Source organism: Homo sapiens, chromosome 7, assembly GCF_000001405.40.
Source record: "Homo sapiens chromosome 7, GRCh38.p14 Primary Assembly".
Taxonomy (NCBI): domain Eukaryota; kingdom Metazoa; phylum Chordata; class Mammalia; order Primates; family Hominidae; genus Homo; species Homo sapiens.
This window is the reverse complement of record NC_000007.14, coordinates 45,958,087-45,982,790: the sequence shown is the minus strand read 5'-3', so window position 1 is coordinate 45,982,790 and position 24,704 is coordinate 45,958,087. Positions and strand designations below refer to the sequence as shown.

General features: G+C 45.9%; 1 long non-coding RNA gene and 1 pseudogene across 2 annotated transcripts in view, besides 1 other annotated feature; one reads left to right on the top strand and one right to left on the bottom strand.

Moving 5' to 3' along the window:
• LOC102723446 (uncharacterized) overlaps window positions 1-24,704 on the bottom strand; it is a 52,707-nt gene that overhangs the window by 10,365 nt on the left and 17,638 nt on the right. The window contains exons 2-4 of one of the 2 annotated variants that reach the window (NR_187745.1): window positions 5,113-5,272; window positions 4,323-4,441; window positions 2,764-2,882 (exon numbers count right to left, since the gene is read on the bottom strand). This is a non-coding gene — a long non-coding RNA (uncharacterized LOC102723446). The remainder of the gene's footprint in view (window positions 1-2,763; window positions 2,883-4,322; window positions 4,442-5,112; window positions 5,273-24,704) is intronic. The other variant, NR_187744.1, reaches the window with a different exon arrangement.
• Window positions 3,965-5,164: an enhancer, noted in NCBI's record as "P300/CBP strongly-dependent group 1 enhancer chr7:46017226-46018425 (GRCh37/hg19 assembly coordinates)". NCBI's record gives its function as "activates an origin of replication core promoter dependent on BRD2, BRD4, P300/CBP, MED14 and CDK7 cofactors, with strong dependence on P300/CBP, by STARR-seq in HCT116 cells {active_cell/tissue: HCT116}" and the evidence as "EXISTENCE:reporter gene assay evidence [ECO:0000049][PMID:35650434]".
• Window positions 7,353-7,409, top strand: RNU7-76P (RNA, U7 small nuclear 76 pseudogene; annotated as a pseudogene).

Here is a 24,704-nt window from a genome sequence, read left to right as displayed (position 1 = left end):
TCATAATGTCAGAAAGAAACATTTTAAAGGTGTTATATGCATAGACTGAGAAGAAACAAAGCTCAACTCCTGAGTTTTATGGTTGACACTCAGATCATTTTTGCGTATCTGCTTCTCAAATCCGTCAGCGGCCATCAGGTATTTGTGTCCCGGCTTCTCACCAGGATCACCTGCAGAGCTTGCCAGCGACCATGGCTAGGCCCCAGGCCAGGAGCTCCCACATTGTTCAGGGGATTCTAAAGTGCACCCCAAACCCCAGCAGCCCACTCTGGCTCCCCCATCCTTCCTGGGCACATTCCCTTCCAAGCACACAGGCCTCATTTCTATACTTAAACCTGCTGAATTCATTCCTGCCTCAGGGCTTCTGCACACCCTCTCTTTCCCCTCTTCAGGCCCGTCCTTTGCCCCTTCCATTGCTGACACCTTCCCATTATCTGGGTCTTAAATCAAGTGTCTTTCTTCCCTCTCATTCGTTATCACTTTCCCTTCACAGAATTTATCATGACCTAAAACCATCTTGGTTATTCTGGTTTGCATTCATTTCATTTTAATATATTGTAACTACTTCAAAACTTAAGTGAAAATATGCATACTTAATAGGGTCAGTTTTCTTTTGGGGGTGATAAAAATGTTCTGCAGTTAGATAGAGACCATGCTGGCACAACACTGAGAATGTAAAAGCCGCTGAATTGTACGCCTCAAAACGGTTAAAATGGTGAATTTTATGATATGTGAATTTTACCTCAATTTTAAAAAATACTTCTTTCATGACTCTTACACAAGCATATTTCAAATTTCTTTTTTTAATTGGCATATAATAATTATACATATGTATGGGCTACAGAGTGAAGCTTCCACACATATAATGTATAGTGGTCAGATTTGGGTAATTAGCTTATCAATCATCTCAGATATTTTGAGTTCGAGTCAAATTCTTTCAGGCATGTCTCTGATTAGGAGGTTCTTTTATTTCCCTGAAATTCAAAACTGGACATATCTATTCAAGAAAATTATAGAAATTATTATATTGCTACTTATCTTTATGAATTGGAATTTTTTGGAACCACATGAGGAAGATCAAGATAGGAAAATATTGAAACAACTGAAAGTATCCAGGTTGACCAAAATGTCCTTTACATTTTTGTTGACTGGCTTAATTACAAATAAATAAGCATCGTCAATGAGAAATTATAAAGAAATTTACAAAATGCTGTCTTTAATATAGAAATTTTATATATTTGGACTTCATATAAGATCTTGTTTGAGAAAGAATACTTTTGCTGCTAAGGAAGTTTGAATATTTTTGAGCTAAATCAACTTGAAGGCCCTAACATCCTGCAAACCTGACACAAGTTACTGGACCACGTGCAGGTCATCCCCCAGAGGCTGCTCCCGGGGCTCCTGGAGGAGACTTAAATGTTGCCCGGCACCACCTTCAACACAGCAGCGTATGTGTTCTCCACACCTGAGAAGTATTTCTCCTTAACTCACTGAGTCAGAGTTCATAGGCTTCCCTCAGGAGGGGTAAGACCCACCCCACTCCACCCTATCTGGCAAGAATCCTTTGTGTTTACAGCACAGTAGGAATGCAGGCATGGAGGCAACCTCTGAGCTGACTGCAAGCAAAGTCCCAGGGAGATGATGTGGGTTGGCAAGGAAGGAAGAGGCATGAGGAAGCCATCAGGGTGGAAAGGAGCAGCCACCGTGTCCCTTCAAAGAAAACTCCCAGCACTGGTCCTGGAAGGGACTTTAGCGGCGTCTTACCCACTACTGCCCTACTATAGACTGAAAATAATGAGACTCCGGGGAGAGAAGGGTTTGCCCAGAGCCCCACTCTCTTCAGTACAGGATTGTCCTAGTGGATAAAAAAAATTGCAGAATCCCTCTCCTGAGTCATTCACAATATGTTCTTGCCTTTTGCTAGTGCTTTGTCTTCTAGAACTTTCCAGACAGCACCCCACCCCTTCCTTCAGAAGCAAGGTTCCATGTTGTCTCAGTTGTGCCTGTTTCCTTTTCCAGAATTTCATTGCAATTTCCCCCATTTCTGTAACGTTTGCTCAGACTCTGTGTTGTTTAGTCAGTTGTTAGGAATCTCTTAGACTCCTGTTGTCAGTGAGGAGCCAAGCAGACACACTTGTAGACGCAACACACAGAGCAGACCCAAGTTTCTGCCACTAGGGCTGGACCACACAGGCACCTTCCCTTCCAGGCTGCAGGGTCCCCCATTGGCAGTGGCCTCGTCTCCAGGACTTTCCTGCTCTAGAACTCAGAGAAGAAGCTGCCACACCAATACTAGCATGTGACAAATAGCAGCAGACAGGCTGAGCAATTAAACAGACCCCAAATGCTTGTCAGTGGGGCTGGGCCTCACCGAGGACCAGGTAGACTATCCAGAGCATGGCCTTGCCCACCACTCAATTGACAGCTGCAGCTGAAGCCACGTGGAGGATGTCTGCCCTGTGTGGCTGAGGGAGAGTCTGAGGGTCCCCTCTCCTGCCAGGCTCCCCTGCATCAGGATACAGATGTCCAGGGGCACATGTAGACAGCCATCAGACCACCTCACGAGGGGCCTTGGGGATGTGCCCGAGGTGAGCACCTGAGTTAACTGTGTTAGCCCACTGCCAGGTGTTGGCTGTGTAAGCTGGGTTACCTGGCTTAGCTATATTACTTGAGTTAACTCACTACCCTGTGTTACCTGTATTAGCCCATGACTCTGTCACCTGTGTTACCTGCATTAGCTCACCGCCCTGTTACCTGAGTTACCTGCGTTAGCTCACTGTCCTTGATGGTGCCTCTCAAAGCACCTGTGGTAAAGGGATCCAGGTGTGTGTTTTAATATCCATTCCATTGAAAACTGTTCCTCTTGTAAAATAAGTATGGTCCTAGAAAAATGAAATGAAGACAAAACACAAATCCCATTTTTTGTTAGATTCAACAGATATGAAATTACTCTGCCTAATTGCTGTAAAGTTCACATTGATTTACTCTCAATTTCTGTTCTTCCCTGTTGCGAGCCAGTGAGACACCCAGCCCTGGTCAGCCGGCCACATCCAGGAGCCTGGTGTGGCCCTCAACCAGTCCTCACCACAAACCTAGGATGCTGGCCCTGCTCCTGTCCTACAGATGGGAAAACTCAAGCCCAAGATTGTAGAGTCTCAGCCCAGGCCTTTGCCCTGCCAAACACCTGGGCACACCTGTGAGCCTAGCTCCTTCCTGACCTCCAGCATGATCAGGGACAGCAGGGACAAAGATCAGAGACGAAGATGACCCAACATGTGTTCTCCCTTGAGGAGGACCACAGATGCCTGAGATCAATGGGTGGACAACCCATGACTGCATCATGGTGTGACAGAGAAACGGTTGGCAGGCCACATGCAACCACAGAGCAGGGAAGAAGAGAATCCTCCCTGCCAGTACAGGGAGAGCCCCTTTCAGCCCCTGGCTCATGCCCCAACCTGGAGACTCAGTTTCACCTGCTCAGCCCTCTCCACACCTGACCTCGAGTTCCACAAACAGAGATGATGATTTATGTGTTTTCACTTCCATCCCCCTTCCCACCTAGCAAGGCATCTGCTCATAAGCAATATCCACAAGAAGTTATTTAAAGGAAATAATCAGCAGAAGAGAAAGTTGGGATGCAGTGGCCTCTTCAAGTCCCCTGCACACCCCCACCCATGCATCCTGTCACAATGACTGTAGTGTGTGAATTCCTATTACTCCCTTTACAGAGGAAGAAAAGAGGTACTCTTGCCCAATATTTTCTTGGGCCTCTGGGCCATCCAGGGCCACAGCCATAGTCCAGGGGTTGAGTTTTGTCTATGCAGCCTCCCCTACTGACCATGAACTCCTCAGGGGCAGGAACATGCTCATCCCTGTCCCATAACTCCAGGCAAGTGGCCCACCAAGGGGCCAAGCACAAGACATCTGCCCTGATATCGGTTGTTCCAGAAACACTAGCGCCTTCTGGGGCCCCATTCTTGCTGCCAAGACTTAAGTAGTCACAAAAACCTACTGTCCCCTATCCTGCTGGTTGAAAGAAAGTATTTAGGGCAACTCAGAGACACTAAGGAAGGAAATGCTTTTCAAACTTTGCAGACTGTAACATGCAAAGGGTTTGAATGTCTCATAGTGAAGTTTTTGTTTTAAGGAACCTGAATATAAAATTAGGAATGAGCTGGAATGCTGTCTTGGACTCCTCGGAGCCTGGAATTTCTCCGACCTTCCCCATAATTGGAGCTGCCCCGTGAGTCTGAACACGCACCCTGTGTGGACGTGAGTTCACTCAGTGAAAAGCTCCCGCTTGCTTAACTCTCACAGCTCACCTTTAAGTGTTTGCGTGGGTGACTTCTTCTGTTGCCCAGACAACCACACTGTCACCGGGCATTTAGCTGTTGACACGTTAGGCATGTTTCACTGCATAGTGAATCAGCATTCTCTGTCTCTGGAATGAAACGAGGAAATTAAACATCAGAAACTTCTAAAGTGGCAGGAGGGCTGAAGTAAGAAATGCACAAGAGGTGACTCATCCTACTTTGATTCTGTGCCTTGGCCACAGACACAAGTTAACCCTGTAATGCCCACTTGGGAACAGTGGCTCCCGGCTCTTAGGCATGCCCAGCCCCTGGCTGCAGCAGGCTCTGACAAGGCTCTGGTGAGAGATGGCAAATACAGTGCCTTTGGGGCCAGCAGACAGCATCATTGCATGGAGAGGTGAGAAGTGAAAAATGCCAGCTCACCCTAAATGCACTCAAATCCCTGTCTTTTCCTCAGTACAGGTCAAAAGAATGATCCAGATTCAGCTCAACTGTGATCCCTGAGATATTCTTTCATGAAATAATTCTTGTAGCCAACACCCTATTGGGACAACCCTTGCTGATTCTGAAAGGTTGTCTATGTCCCTTATTTACTTCCAGCTTCATAATGTCATAGAGATTCTAAGGTGGGGATTCCCATTCATCCCTTTACAAGGGAAGAAAGGAGACACTCTTGACCAAGATCTTTAGACAGACAGCAGAACCGTATAGTTGACTCTGAGATTAAAAACCCAGTGCTCTTTACTCAATAAAATGCTGCCTCTCTAGTGAAATAAGTTAATGCACCTTTATAAATCACCTTATTTTGTGGTTACTCCTTATTTTGAGCCTTATTTCCAGTGGGTTCTCTGGCTGCTCTACCATGTAGTCTTGTTGAACTCCTCATCTGGAAGGGCCACATCTATCATGTGGGGTAAATGAGATCATTTCAGACCTTGGAGTCATAGACCATGAAGAACCTTGGAGGTAAATGGAGAAGAGTAAAGGGCACCATCATTGCTGCCCAGCCCCATCCACCGCACCCGGCACCCACCACCCTGCACTAAGTCCGAGGACAGCAAAGAGGCCAAGTGCTCCTCTCCAAGGGTGTCCCATGTCTTTCTGGGCACCAGATAGTGGGGCCTGTGGTTAATTCCCAGAATGCTGAAAATGTAGGGTTGTATGAAGATAAAAGAAAATAATATGTGTCTAGTATTATGTAAACTGCAAAGAGTAACATCCAAGGAGGGCGTTACCCCATGAGAAATCAACAGACTTGCTACAGCCCATACACAGTATCTGAGGGCGGCTTTGCTGAGGGGCTGGGGTCCTGGGGAGCTGCACCACTTCCAACACCCAAAGCCACCAAAAATTTCCCTCCACTTTGAGCTTTATCTTCCTGTGTTCCCATAGCGTTATGAAGAGAATCCAGAGATGACACCAGCCTTGCTGAGTGCACCTGGTGATGTTTGCTTTAAGGCCAGGGGGTCTTTAGAGAGACCATGACTCATGCTGGGGAGTGGAGCTGAGAGAACAGGGGGTCCCCATCCTCAAGGAGCCCCACACAATGGCAGCTGCAGACATGGAAAGAGAAAGTTATGAGGAAAACAAAGTAAGTTCTACAATAAAGCTCAGAGCCACTTGTCCTTTAACCAGACTGGCTGAGCTGATCCCAACAGGCTGGTGAAGAAAGGAGAGCCCCACCTGCTAAGAAGATTCTGGACACCAAGACCACGGTAGTATTTGAGGATGACCCCTGGGATGCACACAGGGACATGGGTTGCACCTAGAGGGGACGTCAAGGATTCCTCAGGCCCTGGGAGTGTCCAGGAGATGGATGAAGCCCTCCCAAGGTTGGCAGAGCAAGGGCTCCCACCCAGAGCCCTTTCCCGGGTGGATGGAGGAGCCCCTATCACCTCCATGTGTCTGTAGCATGCAGCTCTTCACTTCCCCACCCAGGACCTTTGATTCCCATCTGATTAATAAGGTTAAATTAGCTGGTTCTCTAAGGGGACTCCTGAAACCCCATCCTGCTGGGAAATCCAGATGTAGAACCCAGGGCACTGCATGGGCAGCACCAGTGCCTATCTCCACCTCCCAGCCCTGGTGAGGATGGCAGGGGAGGTGCTGGAACATCCTCCTGGGGCCATCGAGCCTGTCATGCTGAGGCTGGGCACTGCCCTGCTGAACATTCCCAGTGCCCTCAGTGCCAAGTTCTTGGGGGCCCTGGTGGATGCTCCACTCCACACTGATGGGCCTCGAGGAGAGGGAAGCATCCTGCAGAAGGGACACGTGGAGTCTCCCGGAGCTGCCCTGAGACCAACCTCAGGACCCAGCCTCTGGGCTGACCCAGCTGAGTGTCCAATCTCACTTCACACAGCCTCTAAAACCACAAGCTCCTGCCATCTCCCTCACCTGCCCAAAGAGGCTTCAGCTTTCTTTCTTCCTGGACCTCATCCAAACCCTCCCTCTGGGCATCATCCTCAAAGTCTTGGTGCCTCGGTGCTTTGAAGGGAAGTGCAAATGTCATTGGCAGCCCCCAGCCCTCTCGGGAGCCCAGTGGTGCCGCCCGTGCAGCTTGCTGGCCCTGGAAGCTGAGTGCTTGGAGCTGCTATGTGGACACTCCTGTAGGGAAGAGGGTGCCCCATTCATTTGGGATGAGTCTTCACATCAATTTTGTTGTGCCCAGCCTTCACCCCACCTGAGGGGTGCCTGAGGACAAGGACACTGCTACATTTTGAGTGTGTCCCCCAAAAGTTCATGTGATAGGAGGTGGAACCTAACAGAAGGTGTTTGGGTCTTGAGAACTCACCCTCATGAATGGGTTAATGCCATTCTCACAAGACTGGGTCAGTTCTCACGGGAATTGACTCACCCTCACAAGAGCAGTTTGTGACAGGTTGAGGAAGCCTCTCATGGCTGGCCTTTTGCACATACTTGCTTCCCCTGCTGCTTCTCTGCCATGTTAGGGTGCAGCACAAGGTCCTCATGAGAAGCCAGCCCCATGCTTCCTGGACTTCACAGCCTCCAGAACCATGAGCCAAATCAACCTCTTTTCTTAAGTGTTAGAGCTCTTTTAGAATTTGTCTAGCAGGCTTTTCAGGTTTTGCTGGAAAGCAATCCCCCAACCAAAAAAAAAAAAAACCCTCTTTTCTTTATAAATTACGTAGTCTCAGGCATTCTGTTATAGCAACACTAAATGGACTAAGACAGACACCCTTGAGCAGAGATAGGGGCTCCTGCCATCCACTAGCTCTACCATGTCTGCAAAAACATTACTACATTTCCTCATCTTTAAAAAGTAGATACAACCCCACTCGAATGATGACTTCGAGAATTAGGATGCGTGATGCTGATGCCGGGTGAGCATTCAGTCTGTGGTGCTGCCTCATCTACCCCTGGAGGGATCAATATCACACATAAGCTCAGCCACCTGCCTCAGGGCACATTTTAAAAGCTGTCAGTGTGTTAAACGCACCCGTTTCATCGTTGTTGTCTCAGCCTTTGAGCACTGTGCTCCATGTGCCTCATGCACCTCCAAGGAGCCCAGCCATATCCTTCCCCGTCAGCCCCCCATGGTCTGTGTGTACCCACAGATCATGCTGTTCCCTTCCCCATGCACTCAACATCACTTGGCTCTTTAGGGACAGTTTTCATCCCCTCTTCACTCCTGCTGTCATTCCCAGAACCAGGCGCCAGTGGGCACAGAGGAGGTGCTGGAAGCCCATGGAAATCTGCCAGTGCATTCAAGGTGAGAGCAGGGTCAACTCAGGCAACAGGGCTCTGAATTTAAACCTAGGGAGAAGAGCACCGAGGGCGTGGGCTGGGCTCAGTCCCCAGGCAGGGGGAGCTATGTGGCTGGTATGTGGGGGTGTAGGATATTTCTATTCTGGGACCTTCTCCATGACTCCCTATGAATAGGAACTCTGGGAGGAGAGAACTTCCCCAGCCCTTCCTTGGGTGCTGCCCCCACGGAAAAAAGGAGCATCACTGACCATCAGAGAGGTGACACTGACATTGACCAGAGGGTTTAGTGTGAGTAGCATGGAGGCAGAAAAATGCTGAGAACCATGTGTCAGCACATGGGCTGTTAAGGAAACCCCCGGAGGGGGAGAGCACACTGACTCTAGTAACTAGGGAGCATTTGGAGATGCTGCATAGCAAGCAGACACCCCCATCCCGGGAGGCTGAGCCACCTCCTGATGGTCATCACTGTGCTTTACACAACAGGCCGATTGTGTGGGGGTTTCCATTTCCTGCCTGGGATGGGCAGCGGGCAGCTGCGTGAGGGCTGCCAACTCTCTGAAGCTCTATCTAAACAAATAAATAGGCTCTCCAGAATGAAAGGGGCTTTGTGCATTGTTCTGTTGACTTTGGGAAAGGAAAGCACAATTAACAAATGACCACAGAGGGGACACAGGGGGCAAGGGATCAAGTTGGTTCTCCAAGGCCAGACCCACGCCCAGGAGACAGTAGTGGATGCTGGAGAAGCAGCCGGTGGAAGCGGCAGCATCCCATCCATCTCCAAGGCAGGCCTCCCTAGAGGATCCCGGCAACTTTAAGTCTCCAGTTCCTCCTTGAGGGTGTAAGGACAGCCACGGTGCCTGTGGACGGCATTGCTGAGAAGATGGAATCACATGAATAAAATAACTGTGCAGTGGGTGCCTCCCAGGTCCTGATCCTCAGCAACTGGCTCCTCAGGATCCCCACCTGGCCAACAACCTAAGGGTTCGGTTCTGGCGTGAGTGCTGATAGGCCCTCACTTTTCTGAGTCTCCCAAAATCTACGTCAATGTCAAATGGAAGTTTTAGTCATAGTAATAATAACACTAGAACCCACTCGAAGGTGCTGCAGTGTAGTTTAAATGAGATGCTGCAGCATGAAATTTTCTCTAGAGTAAAAATGTAAAGCATTGCATTTATTTTAAATAAAAACGTATTACAGAACAGAATACAAACTATGTGTCCGTTTTTGAGATGAACCGTGATAATTCCAGCTCTGTGTCCACTCCCCCAGGGTGTACAGGGAAAATGTTCCAGAATATTCTGTGCTTAGCTCAGGACTCTGTGAGGTGGGGGAGCTTCTGGGGGTGGGGGAGCCCCAGGACAGCAGAAGCTGCAGTTGGTGTTTCTCAAGGCCCCTCGGGACCGTCTGCTGTGGGTGGCATCCACGTCTATGCTCTTTTCCGAATGAGAAAAGCGCAGGTGGAAATGGGAAAGGTGCAGGAAGACACCGAGTGGAAAGGAAATCAGGCAGCTCCTTCAGAAAACAGGAGAGTTACTTCCTCTGGCTCAGCCCTCTTCACTCACACCCACATCCTGGGTCTCACCTCCGAAAAGACTCTTGGTCACAAGTGACCTGGGGTGTCTGCCCAGTTCTGCACCGACACCAACAGCCACCTGCCCTGTCCCAGCTTCTGTCTTCCCCCTCCACTTGTCTTCCCCAAATGCAGCCTGACCACGCCCTCACTTGTTCCACAGCTCTCCAGGGCCCCATAAACCAGCCATAGGGCTGCCTGCATTCCCCCTGCCCACAGGGGCTTGTGCCTCCCCAGCCAACTAGCACCTGACATTCCTACATCCCAGCCGCACAGTCGCCCTGCCTGGGGACTGAGCCCAGCCCACACCGTGGGTGCTCTGTTCCCACGGTTTCCCTCAGCCCCAAGCTGTCACCATCATCCTCTGTGGCCGTTCCACATCCTGGGCTGGACCTTGTCTTTGGTCTCACGGACCTTGGGTCCAACCATGCAGGAAATGAACAAAAGATGCTTTCTCATATCAGGAAGATAACAAGTGAGGCCAAAGATCATAAATCAGAGGGTAGGGGAAGGGAGTGGCAGCCAATGTGAATGGGGTGTACTGAAAGGCCTTTCCTAAGACTCAGGTGTTTCACATGGCTATGAGGTCTGAGACCCCACCCAGCTGGGAATATCTCTTGGGCCCAAATCCCATGTGCCCTTCAGGGCCCAGCCCAAAGACTACACCCCTCAAATTCATTGTTCTTTTTTCTTTATTTATTTATTTCTTTTTTTTGAGACGGAGTCTCCCTCTATCACCCAGGCTGGAGTGCAGTCGTGCGATCTCAGCTTACTGCAACCTCTGCCTCCCGGGTTCTAGTTATTCTCCTGCCTCAGCCTCCCAAGTAGCTGAGATTACAGGTGCACACCACCACACCTGGCTAATTTTTGTATTTTTGGTAGAAATGGGGTTTCACCATGTTGGCCAGGCTGGTCTCGAACTCCTGACCTCAAGTGATCCACCTGTCTCAGCTTCCCAAAGTGCTGAGATTACAGGCATAAACCACCACACCCAGTGAAATTCATTCTTCTTAACCCACATTTCACCACAGTGAGACAGGAAAGGATGGCACCCAGACGCTATTGGTGCACATAGCGTAACCTTGGGAAAGCCAGAGCTGGCTGGCTTAGGGGACAAGCCCCTGGCCACAGGGGGATGTTCTCCAGTATTCTCACTCTCATTCGTGCACTCAACAAGCAGTTTCTGGAGCCCACCCATGCCAAACGCTAGGGATACAGTGTCCTGGACAGATGGGCTCCCCGTGGTGCTGAACTCTTTGTGGAACAGACAAAGAGGGAACAAAGCAAGTAAATTTCAAAGGCAGGTACAGATATAAAATGATGTAAGTACTTTAAAAAGAAATCTCTGGGACCTGATGATTCAGAGTGAGGAGGGTGACTTCCCTCAGGGACATACCAGGGAAGGCCTCTCTGAAGAGGGCTGGGAAGGGACCCTGAGGGAGGAACATGCTGCAAGATGGGTCTAGGACACCCAGGGAGCAGGGAGGGAGGCAGGCAGGAGCCAGGCCTGTTGACCACATGAGAGTCGAGATTTCATTCTAGTTTCAACAGAAATCTTCCAAAGAGCGTACCACAAAGGAGCAATGCTGTAGCAAAAGTTTGGGGGAGAGAAGGTAAAAAGAGTGGGTGAATTGAAGGACTGAGCAATAAAGGAATGGGCCTAGATATAAAGGTGAAGGCCCACGTCTCTTGTTTATGTGTTTCTCCTGGTTGGTGATGGATTCACTCTCTGAGGGAGGAGTTCTTTCATCCACCCCAAGGCTGGAAGCATCTCCAAATCGATGACCTTGCGGCTTTAGGACCACAGAGAAACATATATGCCCCACGCCAGCTCCAGATGCAGTCCCAGGGAAGGATTGCCTTTGGCTTGGGATGGGTCATGTGCCCAGGCCCAGACCTTAGCAAACCATGCTAAGGACTGTAACTGGCAGCTCACACCCAAAACCGTGCTTCTGGAAGGTAGAGAGGAGTGCCTTGAAATAAAGGGGTCATTTTTCTGTGCAGACAACATTGCAATCTCCCAGAAGTGCTGATGAAACTGAGCTCTGAAGGGAAGAAGAAATCTGAGTTTCCAAGGAGCAGAGGTTTAAGAGACGTGGAGTCTGTAGGCAGACAGCTTTCACTGAATTCAAATGAGAGATTGAACTAGGATAGTTTCTCACAGAAATAGGAGAAACAGACTGGATAAAGGAAATGAAATAAAAAGCAAAGTAAACAGAACTGGAGGAAGAAATGAGAGCTTCAAAAACTTCAAACTGAGAAGGGCAGAGGAAAAGAGAAGCCACACTCAGGATCCAGGTGAATGTGGATGGTGCCCACAGTTCCTCTGTCTCAATGTCAGCTCTCAGGTCAGCACCAGGAGCTCAGTCATTTCCATGTGCAAGAGCTGAGACCTTCAAATCTAAAAGAGGTCTTGCAATCTGTGCCCAACCGTGCTCATTCTGAGTGGAATGAGAATTCCACACTCCAACCCAAACCCAGTGAGCCTTTAATGGCATATTCTTAAGCGGCAGACTTGGATTCAGGGCAGGAAATGCCATCTGAGCTTATAAAGCCTTCAGCAGAGGAATATCAGCTCTAGAAACCCCAAACAGAAGCAGGCCTGGCCAAGCTAGAGACCTACAGATGCAACACACCATGGGCTAGAATTTTTAGCACAAAGGGCACTTTTATCACAAAAGGCTAGAAAAACAGTCCTGTCCATTTTTAGAAGTCTATCAAAATATCCTGTCAAAATGAAACAAAATACAATAATAAAAAATTCATAGCAGCAGGGCATGAAGATGAGGGTCTAAGGCAGCCCAGGAGGCCACCCACACACCAGTCTCCGAGTGTCCTTGCCAAATCTCTCTCTGGACATTCCCTCAACCCAACCAATTCTCCCCAAGTCCAAAACACAGCCTCTGCGCATCCTTCCCAACCTCTCCTCTCCCTCACTCTCTAGCTTGCAAACTCCTAGTTACCTTCAAGGCCAGGCCCAAGTGTCACTGGGTCTCGGCAGCCTTCCCAATGCCCCAGGCAGGCACAACCACCCCCTGCCTGGGCAGCCACACCAGTCTCTCTATACTGCTGATCTCCCAGCCCTGACCTGAACGAGTACCACCTTTTGCCATGTGCCCTGCTGAACGTGGGCTCCTCCCAACTAGGGCTCTGTGCCTGGGCTCTGGCCCGGAGCCCCATACACTCCAGACTGGGTAAATGTTGGATAACTATTTGGTGATTGATACAAGGCTTCTGACACAAAGAGAACTGCCCAGAGGTTATTTTCCATTCCCCCAAAAAACTCCAAAAGAACAAGGGTTCCAAACCACTCTTTTCCCTGCTTCCAAAAGACTTTCTGAAAATGAACCCAGCATCTGGAAATTAACTCACTGTGTAACTGTTTCTAAATAGGACAGGTGGACCCCAAAGCGTCTTTCCTCATGGGCTGTCTCAGCTGCCAGGGCAAATGTGTCAATTGCTGTCCTATAAAAGCACGAGGCCACCTCAATTCCAGAAATAAGCAGCAAGGAGCATTGAATATGCAGCGGCCACAGGAAGCGGCAGGACTATACGAATGGAAGCTTCCCACGTAGATTGGTATGTTTCAGCTGATTGGCAGGTAGATGACCAGGTTAAGCACTAAGCGATAAAGCGCACACCCACTGGCTTTTGTGATGTGCATCTCTCTGTCCCTCGGGAGCTTGGATGTTTCTTTTTGGATGGGCCCAAGAGGGTAGCAACAGTTGCTCACTCCAGAAGATGGCAAATACTTGCCCACCCTTTGTCACTGGCCTTAGAGTGACTAGAGGACATAATTAATCATTAAGACACTCCTTCCTGCCAGCATGGGCAAGCCTTCAGAATTCTTCTCCACTCGCACCATGGAAATTCCCTGTCACCCCTGGAATAAATTACTTTCTGTTAAGTGTAGAATCCAGGCAGGTAAGCAAGGTCAGAATGTTAGCCAGGGATTCACTTTGCGATATTTATGGTCCCCTCAGATTTAATGGTATAATCTGATATATATCCAAACAAAATGATATCATCTGATATGAAACAAAATGAGTGCACAGAGGGGTAGAAAACAATGTGTCCTTAATTCAGTTTCTCCAGAACACTTGGCATCCGCCCTGCCGGCCTCGAGGAAGGAGCGCAGCTCCGTGAAGGGTGGGGACATTCCCACAAGAGAGAAAGCAGAATACAAAACAGGACACAGCCTCATCTCTTTGCAACTAAATTTTCAAAATCTTCCATCTAGATGACTCTTAGTTGAGGAGATTCTTCATCTAAAGAGAACTGAATATTCCTCACGTTTGGACGTTAATCAGAAAAAGGCAAATCAGAAGGGAGAGAAATCCTGACTTGGGAAGGTCAGCATGCAACAGATACTACCCCAGATCTCCAACACCAGGCACAAGGATTTATAGCTAATCAGACGCTTAATACAGTCTATTCATCAAGTTTCTGTAGCCATTGGACACTTACCATACCTGGGCAAAGGGGCAAAGGGGGAAAGTTTGAAAGATGAAAGAGATGTGTGTCCACCCACATAGAAAGAGCCGGGACACGTTGTGGAAAGCAAGTTGCTACATCAATAGAGCCCGCCCTTGGCCCATTTAAAGGAAGGGCATGGAAGCAGCACTTATGGAGCCTGCAGGGGCTCACCAGGCAATGGCTCTGTTCACCTCCGCGGGGAGAGAGGGCTGGGAGGGCAGGTGAGCGAGAACCAGCACATCTGAGTCTGTCTATTCCTGTGTTGTTGGAATAGTTTCTCTGAAAAACAAAAAAGGATCAGAAGAGACAGAGAGAGAGGGAGAATATAAGCTCCTTCCCCTAGGCCCCGCCTGTCAATCCAAGGAGAAGGCCCTACCTGGAGGCCCAGGATTGTGTGCCTTAGAGGATGTGGGCACTGACCAAATGGGTTCTTGTCAGGTGAGCAGCAGGCACCAGGGGTGGGAGAGGCAGGAAAGCCAGGCCCACCCTCAGGAGAAGGGTGGGAAGTCTCCTGAGCCCTGGGGAGCTCCGGCAGGACACCCTTACCTTTGGGTTTGCCATCTTTTCCAGTCTGTTTCCTGCATTAACTGGCAGGATCCCCCTTTGCTGAGATGACACAGGAAAAAGAACAGCCACAGCCCTCACTCTCTGTGGCCTGGACTGTGAGGACCTTGGGGGTGAGGCAACCAGGCCCGCCCAGGGAGTGGGAGTCAGGCTGAGCTCCCCAACCCTTGGGAATGGGCAGGCATCTCACAGGTGCTCAATTCTTCTCTCATACCATTTTTTTATCTGTTAGAGAAAGGCACCAAAAAGAAGCTTGCCTGGGTCAGAAAAGCAAGCGTGCCCCAGCAAATCCCCTCTCCAGCAGCGACGGAGAGCACAGGACAGCAGCAAGGGGCAGACCTGGCCACCTCCAACTTCCACATTTGAGGGTCAGACTCAGGCTGGGGAAGACCACCTGCCCAAGGTCACCTTGTTCAGGTTCAAGTCAGAGCTAAGGGCTCAGTGGGTCCATTCTGAAGGGGAAAGGCTGTGAGTGAGTCTCAGGGAGGCTGGGATTGCCCTGGAGTAAACTTTTGCAGCGTTCTATGCATGATTCTGAGCCAGGGGATCCCTTCTAATCCACCTTTGGGAGGATACAGCACTTCTGTGTTGTGGTTGGAATAGGAAGACCACAGCCCTGGAAGGTTAAGAACTTACTCCTTTTCCCAGTTTATGAATGTATGACCTATTTATGACCTATGAATTTATTAATCTATTCTCTTGGTTCAAGTCTGTTCTCACTGAGAATTTGAGGCAAAGTCTTTGGGGAGACTGGGCCAGACCAGCTATGGAGAGGCAGCAGGAAGGGCTTGAGAGAGCACCCACAGTGGGAGGGAAGCCTGACGGAGTCTTCCATCTTATATATAAAAATATAAGTAAACTTACATTTTATATGACCTTGCCCTAGCTCTTTGAGGTCCCAATTCCCCTGGGTCAGGAAAAGATCATCCCTGAGAAAACAGAGGTCCTCATGGTTGACCATGCTGCAACTTGGAATGAGGCTCTCCTTGCAGGACAGAGGGGGCAGCACATTAGGCCTGGATCCCAAAGTGCAGAGATTCCTTTTGGGAAAGTTTAGGGCCAGATCCAGATGTGTGGTTCTACCAGCAGCCGGTTCTAGGGAGGTAATGTCATCCTCCGTATTCAGCTGTTTCCCCCAAGATTTTATAGAGTACATATTGGTAGCATTAACAAAGTGAGCTGTGGAGTCTACTTTTCGGGAACAGCCATACAATAGTTGGGGCAAGTCAGCGTACAAGACAATGGCCTGCATTCAGGCAAAGGGAGGCCAACCCAGAAAGCCCCAGAAACTCTGAAACATCGCAAAATATAAAGGAGACCCCCAGATCTGCGAAGGGCTGAGGAGATAGCAGCACAAGTCCACACATTCTTGAAGGAGAGGAGGGGATCTGGAAGAACAAAATTGGAAAGGAGCATCGCACACAGACAGCTAGCAACATACAGAGAAATACTCAAACCCTACTAGCCATCAGCAAACTGCAGGTTCACCTGACATCCCATCCAGAGGTTTTATATCCTCAAACCACAACCAAAACATGTAAACCCATTGAGTCAGCCGGGCTGCACCAGGACGGACTCTACTTCAGAGATTTCTGTAACTTCCTGCTTCTGGTAAAGCTGAAAACGCCCTCATGATGGATTTTCTGATGGTTTTAACCCAATGCTAACAACCTTCCTTGGAACAGGCACTGCTGAAAACAGTGCAAAGTCACCGCCACTTCCTGGGATCTTAGGGGGTGTTTGGTTTTTGAGCAAAACTGTTTTCTGAGATTCACACTCAAGACCTCATGGGGATCTTACAAAGGGGACAAAGAACCAAAATGTGTCCTGTCTCTAACTATGCCAGGCAGGCAGAGGAAACAGGCCAGGTTCTAACAGCAAGAGGTTGATAAAAAGGCTCAGTTCTATGAGACAAGACAAGGTGTGTAACATCGGTTTTATAAAATGATGGAATTGATTCACATACTAAGGACTTTTCTGACTGAAAAATTTTGATAGTGTGGATTGCTAAGTATAAAATAACTTTTCCTTGATGTATTTTTTGTTTGTTTGTTTAAACTGGGAAGTTGGATATGAGTATGCACTTGTAGAAACATGTGGTCATGCGCGCCCAGACCTGCATGGTGGGTTCGAACCGCAGGGACAGACCCAGGAGATGGACCTTCTTTTCTAAGGACCGAAGCTGTAATTAAACATTCCTTATGGGCTCTGCAGGCTCCAATGATAAAGGGTGTCCTAGGACTCTCAGGGAGAAAATATCTCAGGACTCCTGAAGGCTTTGCCAGCTCCATAGCTCCAGGGAAAAGACTCTCAAAGGAAGTCGAACTAGATTTTTTTTTCCTTTTTTTTGTTTGAGTCAGGGTCTTTCTCTGTCACGCAGTTCGAGTGCAGTGCAGTGGTGTGATCACAGCTCACTGTAGCTTTGAACTCCTGGACTCAAGGGATCCTCCCCAGTTAGCCTCCCGGAGGAGCTGGAACTACAGGCACATGCCACCACACCCAGCTAAGTTTTTTGGTTTAGATTTTGTGTTTTGTTTTGCATGGAGAGACACAGTCTCACTATGTTGCCCAGGCTGGTCTTGAACTCCTGGCCTCAAGTGATCCTCACACTTCAGCCTCTCAAAATACTAGTATTAGAGGCATAAGCCACTGCACCGAGCCCCAAACCAGGCCTTTAAGCATTAAAGCAAACATATACAGAGTGTGTCTTCACTCTCCTGTGCGCTTTGTGTCCTTGCAAATGGAGAAGGACTTAGATCTGCAGACCACACAGACACTGTGCAGACCCAGAGTCAGGGTGCCGTCTTTGCAAGCTGTCACCCCAGATGGGGTCCCATCTGCTAGCTAGGGGTCTGCCCACACAGGGCCTCTCATGGAGACCAAAACCCAGGCCCAGCATGGGGTTGGATGAGCAGAGCCACACAAATGTAATGACACACTTGCGGAGCCACATTAACCAGGTGGGGAAGAGGCAGATTCACCCCGAGGCCCAGCCAGGAGGGCAGAGCAGGGGAAGAGAGCGTGTCAGCGGGAAAGACCCCCAACCCCCAGCATTAGTACATTGCCTCTGAAATTCTGCCTTTGCTCCCCTATGTGGGCCATGCCCAGGCAGAGGGTAACAGCCAGCCTAATCGTCAACCTATGAGACCAGGCCACTCAGTCCCACTCTGGATGAGTAAACCAAACTGACCCACCAAGAAACCCCCAAATATTGTACCAAGCTGTATTGGCAAAAGGGGTCAACGTCTACATAATAAAATCATCTCTGTGCTTCATTACAGAGATCTCAGAATTATTTCTCTGTTGAATACCCTGTGGGGAGGTGAGGCATCGTGTCCACCACCTTGATTAGAGCCCCTAAACCTGTTAATGTGTCCCAAGTTAGAGAATCATGCCAGCACCACCCCAAGGAGGCAGATCCCAGGCCTGAGCTCAGAGAGCTGACAGAGATAGGGAGGGCCACATAGCTCATACACCCTCTAGGCCAGGAGTCCACACCTCCCAGGACAGGCCACACCACAAAGGGTGCTACCAGAGTATTTGGGATTTGCCTAATTACCTTTTCCTCATCAAGCTAACTAGAATTGAAAAAGCTCACACGTTTGGAAATTAGGCAAGGTTTGGAGGCTCTTCCAAGCCCAATCTCTATACTCTGGTGGATCAACACTCTACAAACCTTACAGTAGGGAGTAGGCTGTGTACAGCTTGAGGTTTCCGCCTACATGGCCTGCCCCTGTTGAACTGGGATTTTTGCTTGTTTGCCTGCAGCTTGTTAGAAAAGTTACTTGCTCTCATTCGTAATTTTTTTCACATATTTCAACATGTTCTGGGGCATGCTCAGAAGCCTCTGAACTTTTGAAGTTAACAATGACATTTTAAATCATCCTCATATAATTGGCTGATTTCAGGGGGGATATTCAGAAGTCTTTACAAAAGGCTTTATTTTTTGAACCCTTCCACCCTAAAATTAGTGAAAATTATTTTCTGCATTTCAACAAAATACAACCTATCTTTGGCCAGTAAAATTGTTTTCAAATTCAATTGATGCTTGTATTTCTGCCAATCTTGATCATTATTGTTTCATTATGCCTCTAGCTAATACTTTGTTCAACTAAAAACAAGTGATAAAATGAGAAAATGTGAGTTTGTGCCTGCATCAAACACACTCACACACACACAAACTCATATTCAGATTCACATACACTCACACTCAGACACTAACACACACTCATGTACATACACTCACAGGTGTGCACACGCTCTCGCACATGTCCACATACACAAGTTCACCCAAACATACACAATCCTTAGGGAAAGGCTGTTTTAAATGGAATAAGAAATGTATCTCAGATCATCAGAAATCTCTTCTATTGCCTTACTGAGAAATAGGATTTCCTCCAAAAATTCCACCCAACTCTTTAAAAGGAGATGGCATGCTTATACAACAGGGGAAGTTTTTATTTTCTTAAATCTCTAGTTTGAAATATTTACCTAGACATCCTTCTCTTTCTCTCCCACACTTTCTGTAAACCCCTGGCCTTTGAATACCTTACCAGGTTTGACTCTATCAAATATCTGGTTTCTTTTTCTTATACCAGGTCTTCAAACTCAGAAAGTAACTGCATAATTCATACATCTATGTAGCAAAAATGATCATCTCTGAATCGAGTAGAGTTATTTGAAATTGCATTGGAGAACAATACTAAATGAAGGCATGGCAGCACAGTGGAGAAGGGCATGCACCTCAGGGCTAGGAAATCTTCAAATGAACAGGTCCTTATGCTGTCATTGCCCATTGAAGTGACATTTTCAAAAACGGCTTCCTGGGTCTGATTCCTCATCTGTAAAATCCTCATAATGTAACTGCTGTAGGGATTAAATATTATAAACTACATGAAATGCCTAGTGTAAAGACTGACACCTAGTAAGTGTTTAATGAATGATCGGTCTTGCTTTTATGTGGCTGGCTGCTAGAGGGCCACAGCAGCATTCCATCCTGATCCTGATTCCAAAGCCATAAGCTCCAGCTTGGTCTCCAGGGACTCATGACTTCTATGTCCACCCCAGCTCCCAGCCACTGAGGCACCTGGTCCCATCATTACATGTTTAAACACTTGGCAGCCCAGCTTCCCAGGGATCATAGCCCATGAATAGGGTTTTCTCCATTGTTAAAATATCCATAGTGCACCTATCTGGAAGAATTGGGATTAGAGGTGAAAGAGGCCGGGCGCAGTGGCTCATGCCTGTAATCCCTGCACTTTGGGAGGCCGAGGCGGGCGGATCATGAGGTCAGGAGATCGAGACCATCCTGGCTAACAAAGTGGAAACCCTGTCTCTACCAAAAAAATAGAAAAAATTAGCCGGGTGTTGTGGCAGGCGCCTGTAGTCTCAGCTACTCAGCTACTCCTGAGGCGGGAGAATGGTGTGGACCCAGGAGGTGGAGCTTGCAGTGAGCCGAGATCTCGCCACTGCACTCCAGCTTGGGCGACAGAGGGAGGCTCCGTCTCAAAAAAAAAAAAAAAAAGTAAGACCTGGTCCCTGACTTTGAAGAGGAAAAACAGACATAAAATCAATTTTCTTAAAAGCAGAATAAGCTCCATTATAGAGGTCAATAATAGAGCACAAGAAAATCATAGTAAAAGGTAATGAAAAATCTGGAGGCATCAGGCAAGACTTAGAGAAACGGTGACCTTTCAACTTTGATTTGAAGCTCTAAGAATGTCATTGAGAGCTTACACAAAATGGCAGAAAACAGTGTAATATCTTCAAGACATAATTCAGTATGGCCAATCCAATCAACAATGTGCAAAAGATAGACAGAGAGGTACCAAGGGGAACCTTCCGGGATACCAAAATAAGTCTGTAATCTATGTTATAAGTAAAAAAAAAAAAAAAAAAAAAAATTGTATCAATACCTTTCTATTTGAAGTGACAACTGGTGTCTTAAACAATTATACTACAAAATAAATCTTCAAAAATCTATGCTTAACTGGGCATGGTGGCACGCACCTGTAGTCCCAGCTACTGGGGACGCTGAGGCAGGAGAATCGCTTGAACCTGGGAGGCAGCAGTTGCAAGTGAGCTGAGATCACACCACTGCACTCCAGCCTGGGCAACAGAGTGAGACTCAGTCTCAAAAAAATAAATAAATAAATAAAAATCTATGCTTAATCTTACAAGAAAGAAAAAATCAAAAAGGGAAAAACATTTGCAACCTATATAAAAATGATTAATATCCTTAAAATATGAAGTTTCTTAAAGAAGAAAAGAGAATAAGAATCCTACAGAAAAAAATGGGCTAGAGGTATGAACAGACAGGCCACAAAAAAAGAACTGCAAATAACTTTTGAATATAATGAAAGATGCTCAACTAACTATTTTCATAATAGAAATGCCAATTCCAAGTATACTGAGTTACCATTTCTCACGTATCAAATTGTCAGAAAATCCAAATGACTGATGACCTATAACATGGGCAAGACAAGGGGAAGCTTCCTCATCTATAGCTAGTGAGAATACAAAGTGACACAGATCCTATGGAGGAGGATATAACTAAATCACTACTTCATTTACCCTTTGAATTCAGCAGTGTCACTTCTAAGAATATACTGGCAAAAATCTGGAAAGACATCCACAGGATTACTCATAGTAGTGCTGTTTTACAAAAGGAAAACGCTAAAAATGACCAAAATGTTTATCAATAGGGGACTATTAAACAAATGATCATACAATCACTTAATGGAGTATCATACTTAAATAACTAAGATGTCTGCTTCAAGATAGAATGTTCAACTACAAGACATCGCTCTCACCAAAGCAATGAGAAAAGAAGATAAGCTGATAAACTTCTAAAATATCGTATTTTACTTAGACCCATCAGAGATCTGCATATGCACAGAAGTCTAAATTTACTAAATTCCAGAAGGCTTATAAGCCCTTTCCAGGTAAGAAAAAGCCAATGGCCATTTTCCTTTCTGAGGGCAATTGCAGAATATAAGATGAGCAACTTTGCTGGGGTAAGGAGATTTACTGGCTTGGCATGTTGGGTTGGAATCTGGAGGACTCCCAGACATGAAGCTAGCTCACCTATCCTGCCTGTTCTCCCAGTTGAGAGGATGGAAGTGAGACCACAAAGAGGAGAGTGACAGAGACATCACTGTTTTCAAATATTTAGATCCAAATCTTCCACTACCGAGAAGAACCTGGTGTGTCACCCTGAAGATGTTTCAAACCAGAATGAGCTACGAATAAACTGCAAACCAGCCATGGCCTGGCTCAATTTCTTTTCATAATTGTAGGAAAGTGATTAGCTCCTCACTCTAGCTGCTTGACAAAGGAAAAGGTATGTCCTCTCTACTGTTCTTCATATTCAAAGTCAACTATACAATCAAAAATCATAAGACATGCAAAGAAACAAGAAAATGAGACCCATAATAAAGAGAAAAAGCAGGCCAGGCACAGTGGCTCACGCCCGTAATCCCAGCACTTTGGGAGGCTGAGGCAGCCATATCACCTGAAGTAAGGAGTTCAAGACCAGCCTGGCCAACATGATGAGATCCCGTTTCTGCTACAAAATACAAAAATTAGCTGGGCGTGGTGCCGGGCGCCTGTAATCCCAGCTACTCGGGAGGCTGAAGCAGGAGAATCACTTGAACCTGGGAGGCAGAGGTTGCAGTGAGCCGAGATTGCGCCACTGCATTACAGCCTGGGCCACAAAGGAGGTTCTGTCTCAAAAAAAAAAAAAAAAAAAAAAGAGAGAGAGAAAGCAGGTAGTAGAGGCACACTGAAAGATGACACAGATTCTGAAATTAACAGACAAAGACTTTGAAATAACTGTGATACATATACTAAAATACTAAAGAAAAATATGAAAAAGTATTTAAAAAGAGATAATTTAAGCAAAAAAATGAAAAACTATTTTTAAAAAATCCTAACAGAAATTTTAGAATGAAAAAAATAAGTAAAATTAAGAATACATTCAGTTGGTTTAAAAAAAGGGCTGAATAAGACAATAAGAAACAAATTAGTGAACTCGAAAATACCTTAATAGAAAGTATTCACATTGAAGTACAAAAAATATGGACAAGATAGAAAAGAGATATTCTAGCATATCAGAGAGATATAGACAATATCAAAGTCTAATAAGGATGAAATTAAATTTTCAGAAGGGGAGAGAGATAATGAAGCAAAATAATTGAAGATAATAAATGAGAATTTTCCAATGCTGTTTAAAGTCATCAACCCAACAATTCAAAAAGCTCAACAAATTCAGTGAAAGATAAACACACACACACAAATCTATACCAAAGTATGCCCTAGTCAAACTTTCTAAAACCAAGAATAAAGAGAAAATGGTAAAAGTACACACAGAAAGGAAACAAATTGTATTCAGGGTAACAACAATAAGAAAGGCAAGTAACTTTTCCTTAGAAACAAGGAATGCCAGAATTAAGACAATTATTTTTTAGTGTGGAAAAAACAACATTTATAACCCTAAGTTTTACAGTAAGCAAAAATATTCTTTAAAAATAAAGATGAAATAATATCATTCTCAGAAAATAAAGGAAGCGGAGAGGATCATCATCAGCAGGTCTACACCAAAGGAAATACTAAAGGAAGATCTTCAGGCTGAAGGGAAATGAGCCAAGATGAAAGCACGGATCTGCAGGGAGGAATGAGGAACACCAGAGTGAATCAGTGAGTTTAGATATAATAAAGATAAAATTCAAAACATGTAAGACTATTGATTCTGTAAAGAAAAAATAAGAACATTGTATTCTGTATTGCATAACATACACACAATGTAAGAACACTGTATGTTTTATAACATACACGCAATATATAAGAATATTGTATTGTGTGTTTTATAACATATTATTACAACAATAGCACAAAGATTAGAGGTCATAGTAAGTCAAATTATAAAATTATGATGGTCTAATATTCTTATGTTGTTTGAGAAATGGTATATTATTAAATAATGGTATGCTGAGAAAAGTTTAAAGTGTAATTGTAATCTCTAAACACTAAAAACAATACAAAAACGTATAGTTAAATATCAATAGCAATCATAAAGTGGAATATTGAAAGATAATAAACCCAAAAGAAGGCAGAATAAGAGAAACAGGACAAAGATTCAACAGGACAAATAGAAAATAAATGGCAAGATGGTAGACTTAAACCCAATTAAATGAATAATTATATTAGATTTACATTAACTAAATACTCCAATTAATCTGACAAAGATTATCAGACTAGGTTTAAAAATAAAAATAAAGACAAGACCCAACTATATTTATAAAAAACAAACTTTAAACATAAACACACCATTAGGTTAACATTTAAATGATGAAATATACATACCAAGTAGTTAATGCCACCTCAAGTAGATGACAAGAAAAGTACCCAGGGCAGAAACTTCCATGAGGTTGCAGTCCAACTGCAACCCAGTGGAGCTTCAGTCAGTTTAAGGCTTGGTTGGCCTGGAGGACCCACTTCCAAGTTGGTTTAGTGACATAGCTGTTGCCAAGAGGCCTCAGTTTCTCACCATGTGGGTCGCTCCATTAAGCTACATTAAAGATATTAAAATTTCTATTAAGTTATTTATATTAAAGATACAAATTATATAAATATAGACATTTCATTTTTAAAAAAGAATCAATTTATCAAGAAGACAATGTTCAATGCATAGATGCTTAATACAGACATTAAAAATACATGAAGCAAAATCCAATAGAAATAAAGGATGAAATAAACAAATCCACAGTTGTAACTGGAAATTATAATATTATTCTCTTAATAGTTAATTGATTGATATTCCTTCCTTCAAGATGTGTAGCCCAATTCCCCTCCCCTAGAGTATGGGCTGGACCTGCTTTTAATGAATAGAGTAATGGAATTGAAAAATTGTGACTTTGGAGACTAGGTCACAAAAAGTCACTATGGCTTCTATCTTGCTTGCTCTCTCTGTCTCAAATGACTTACTGTGGGGAAGACATCAGCATATCACGAGTGGCTTCATGGAGTGGCCCACGTGGTAAATAACTAAGTCCTCT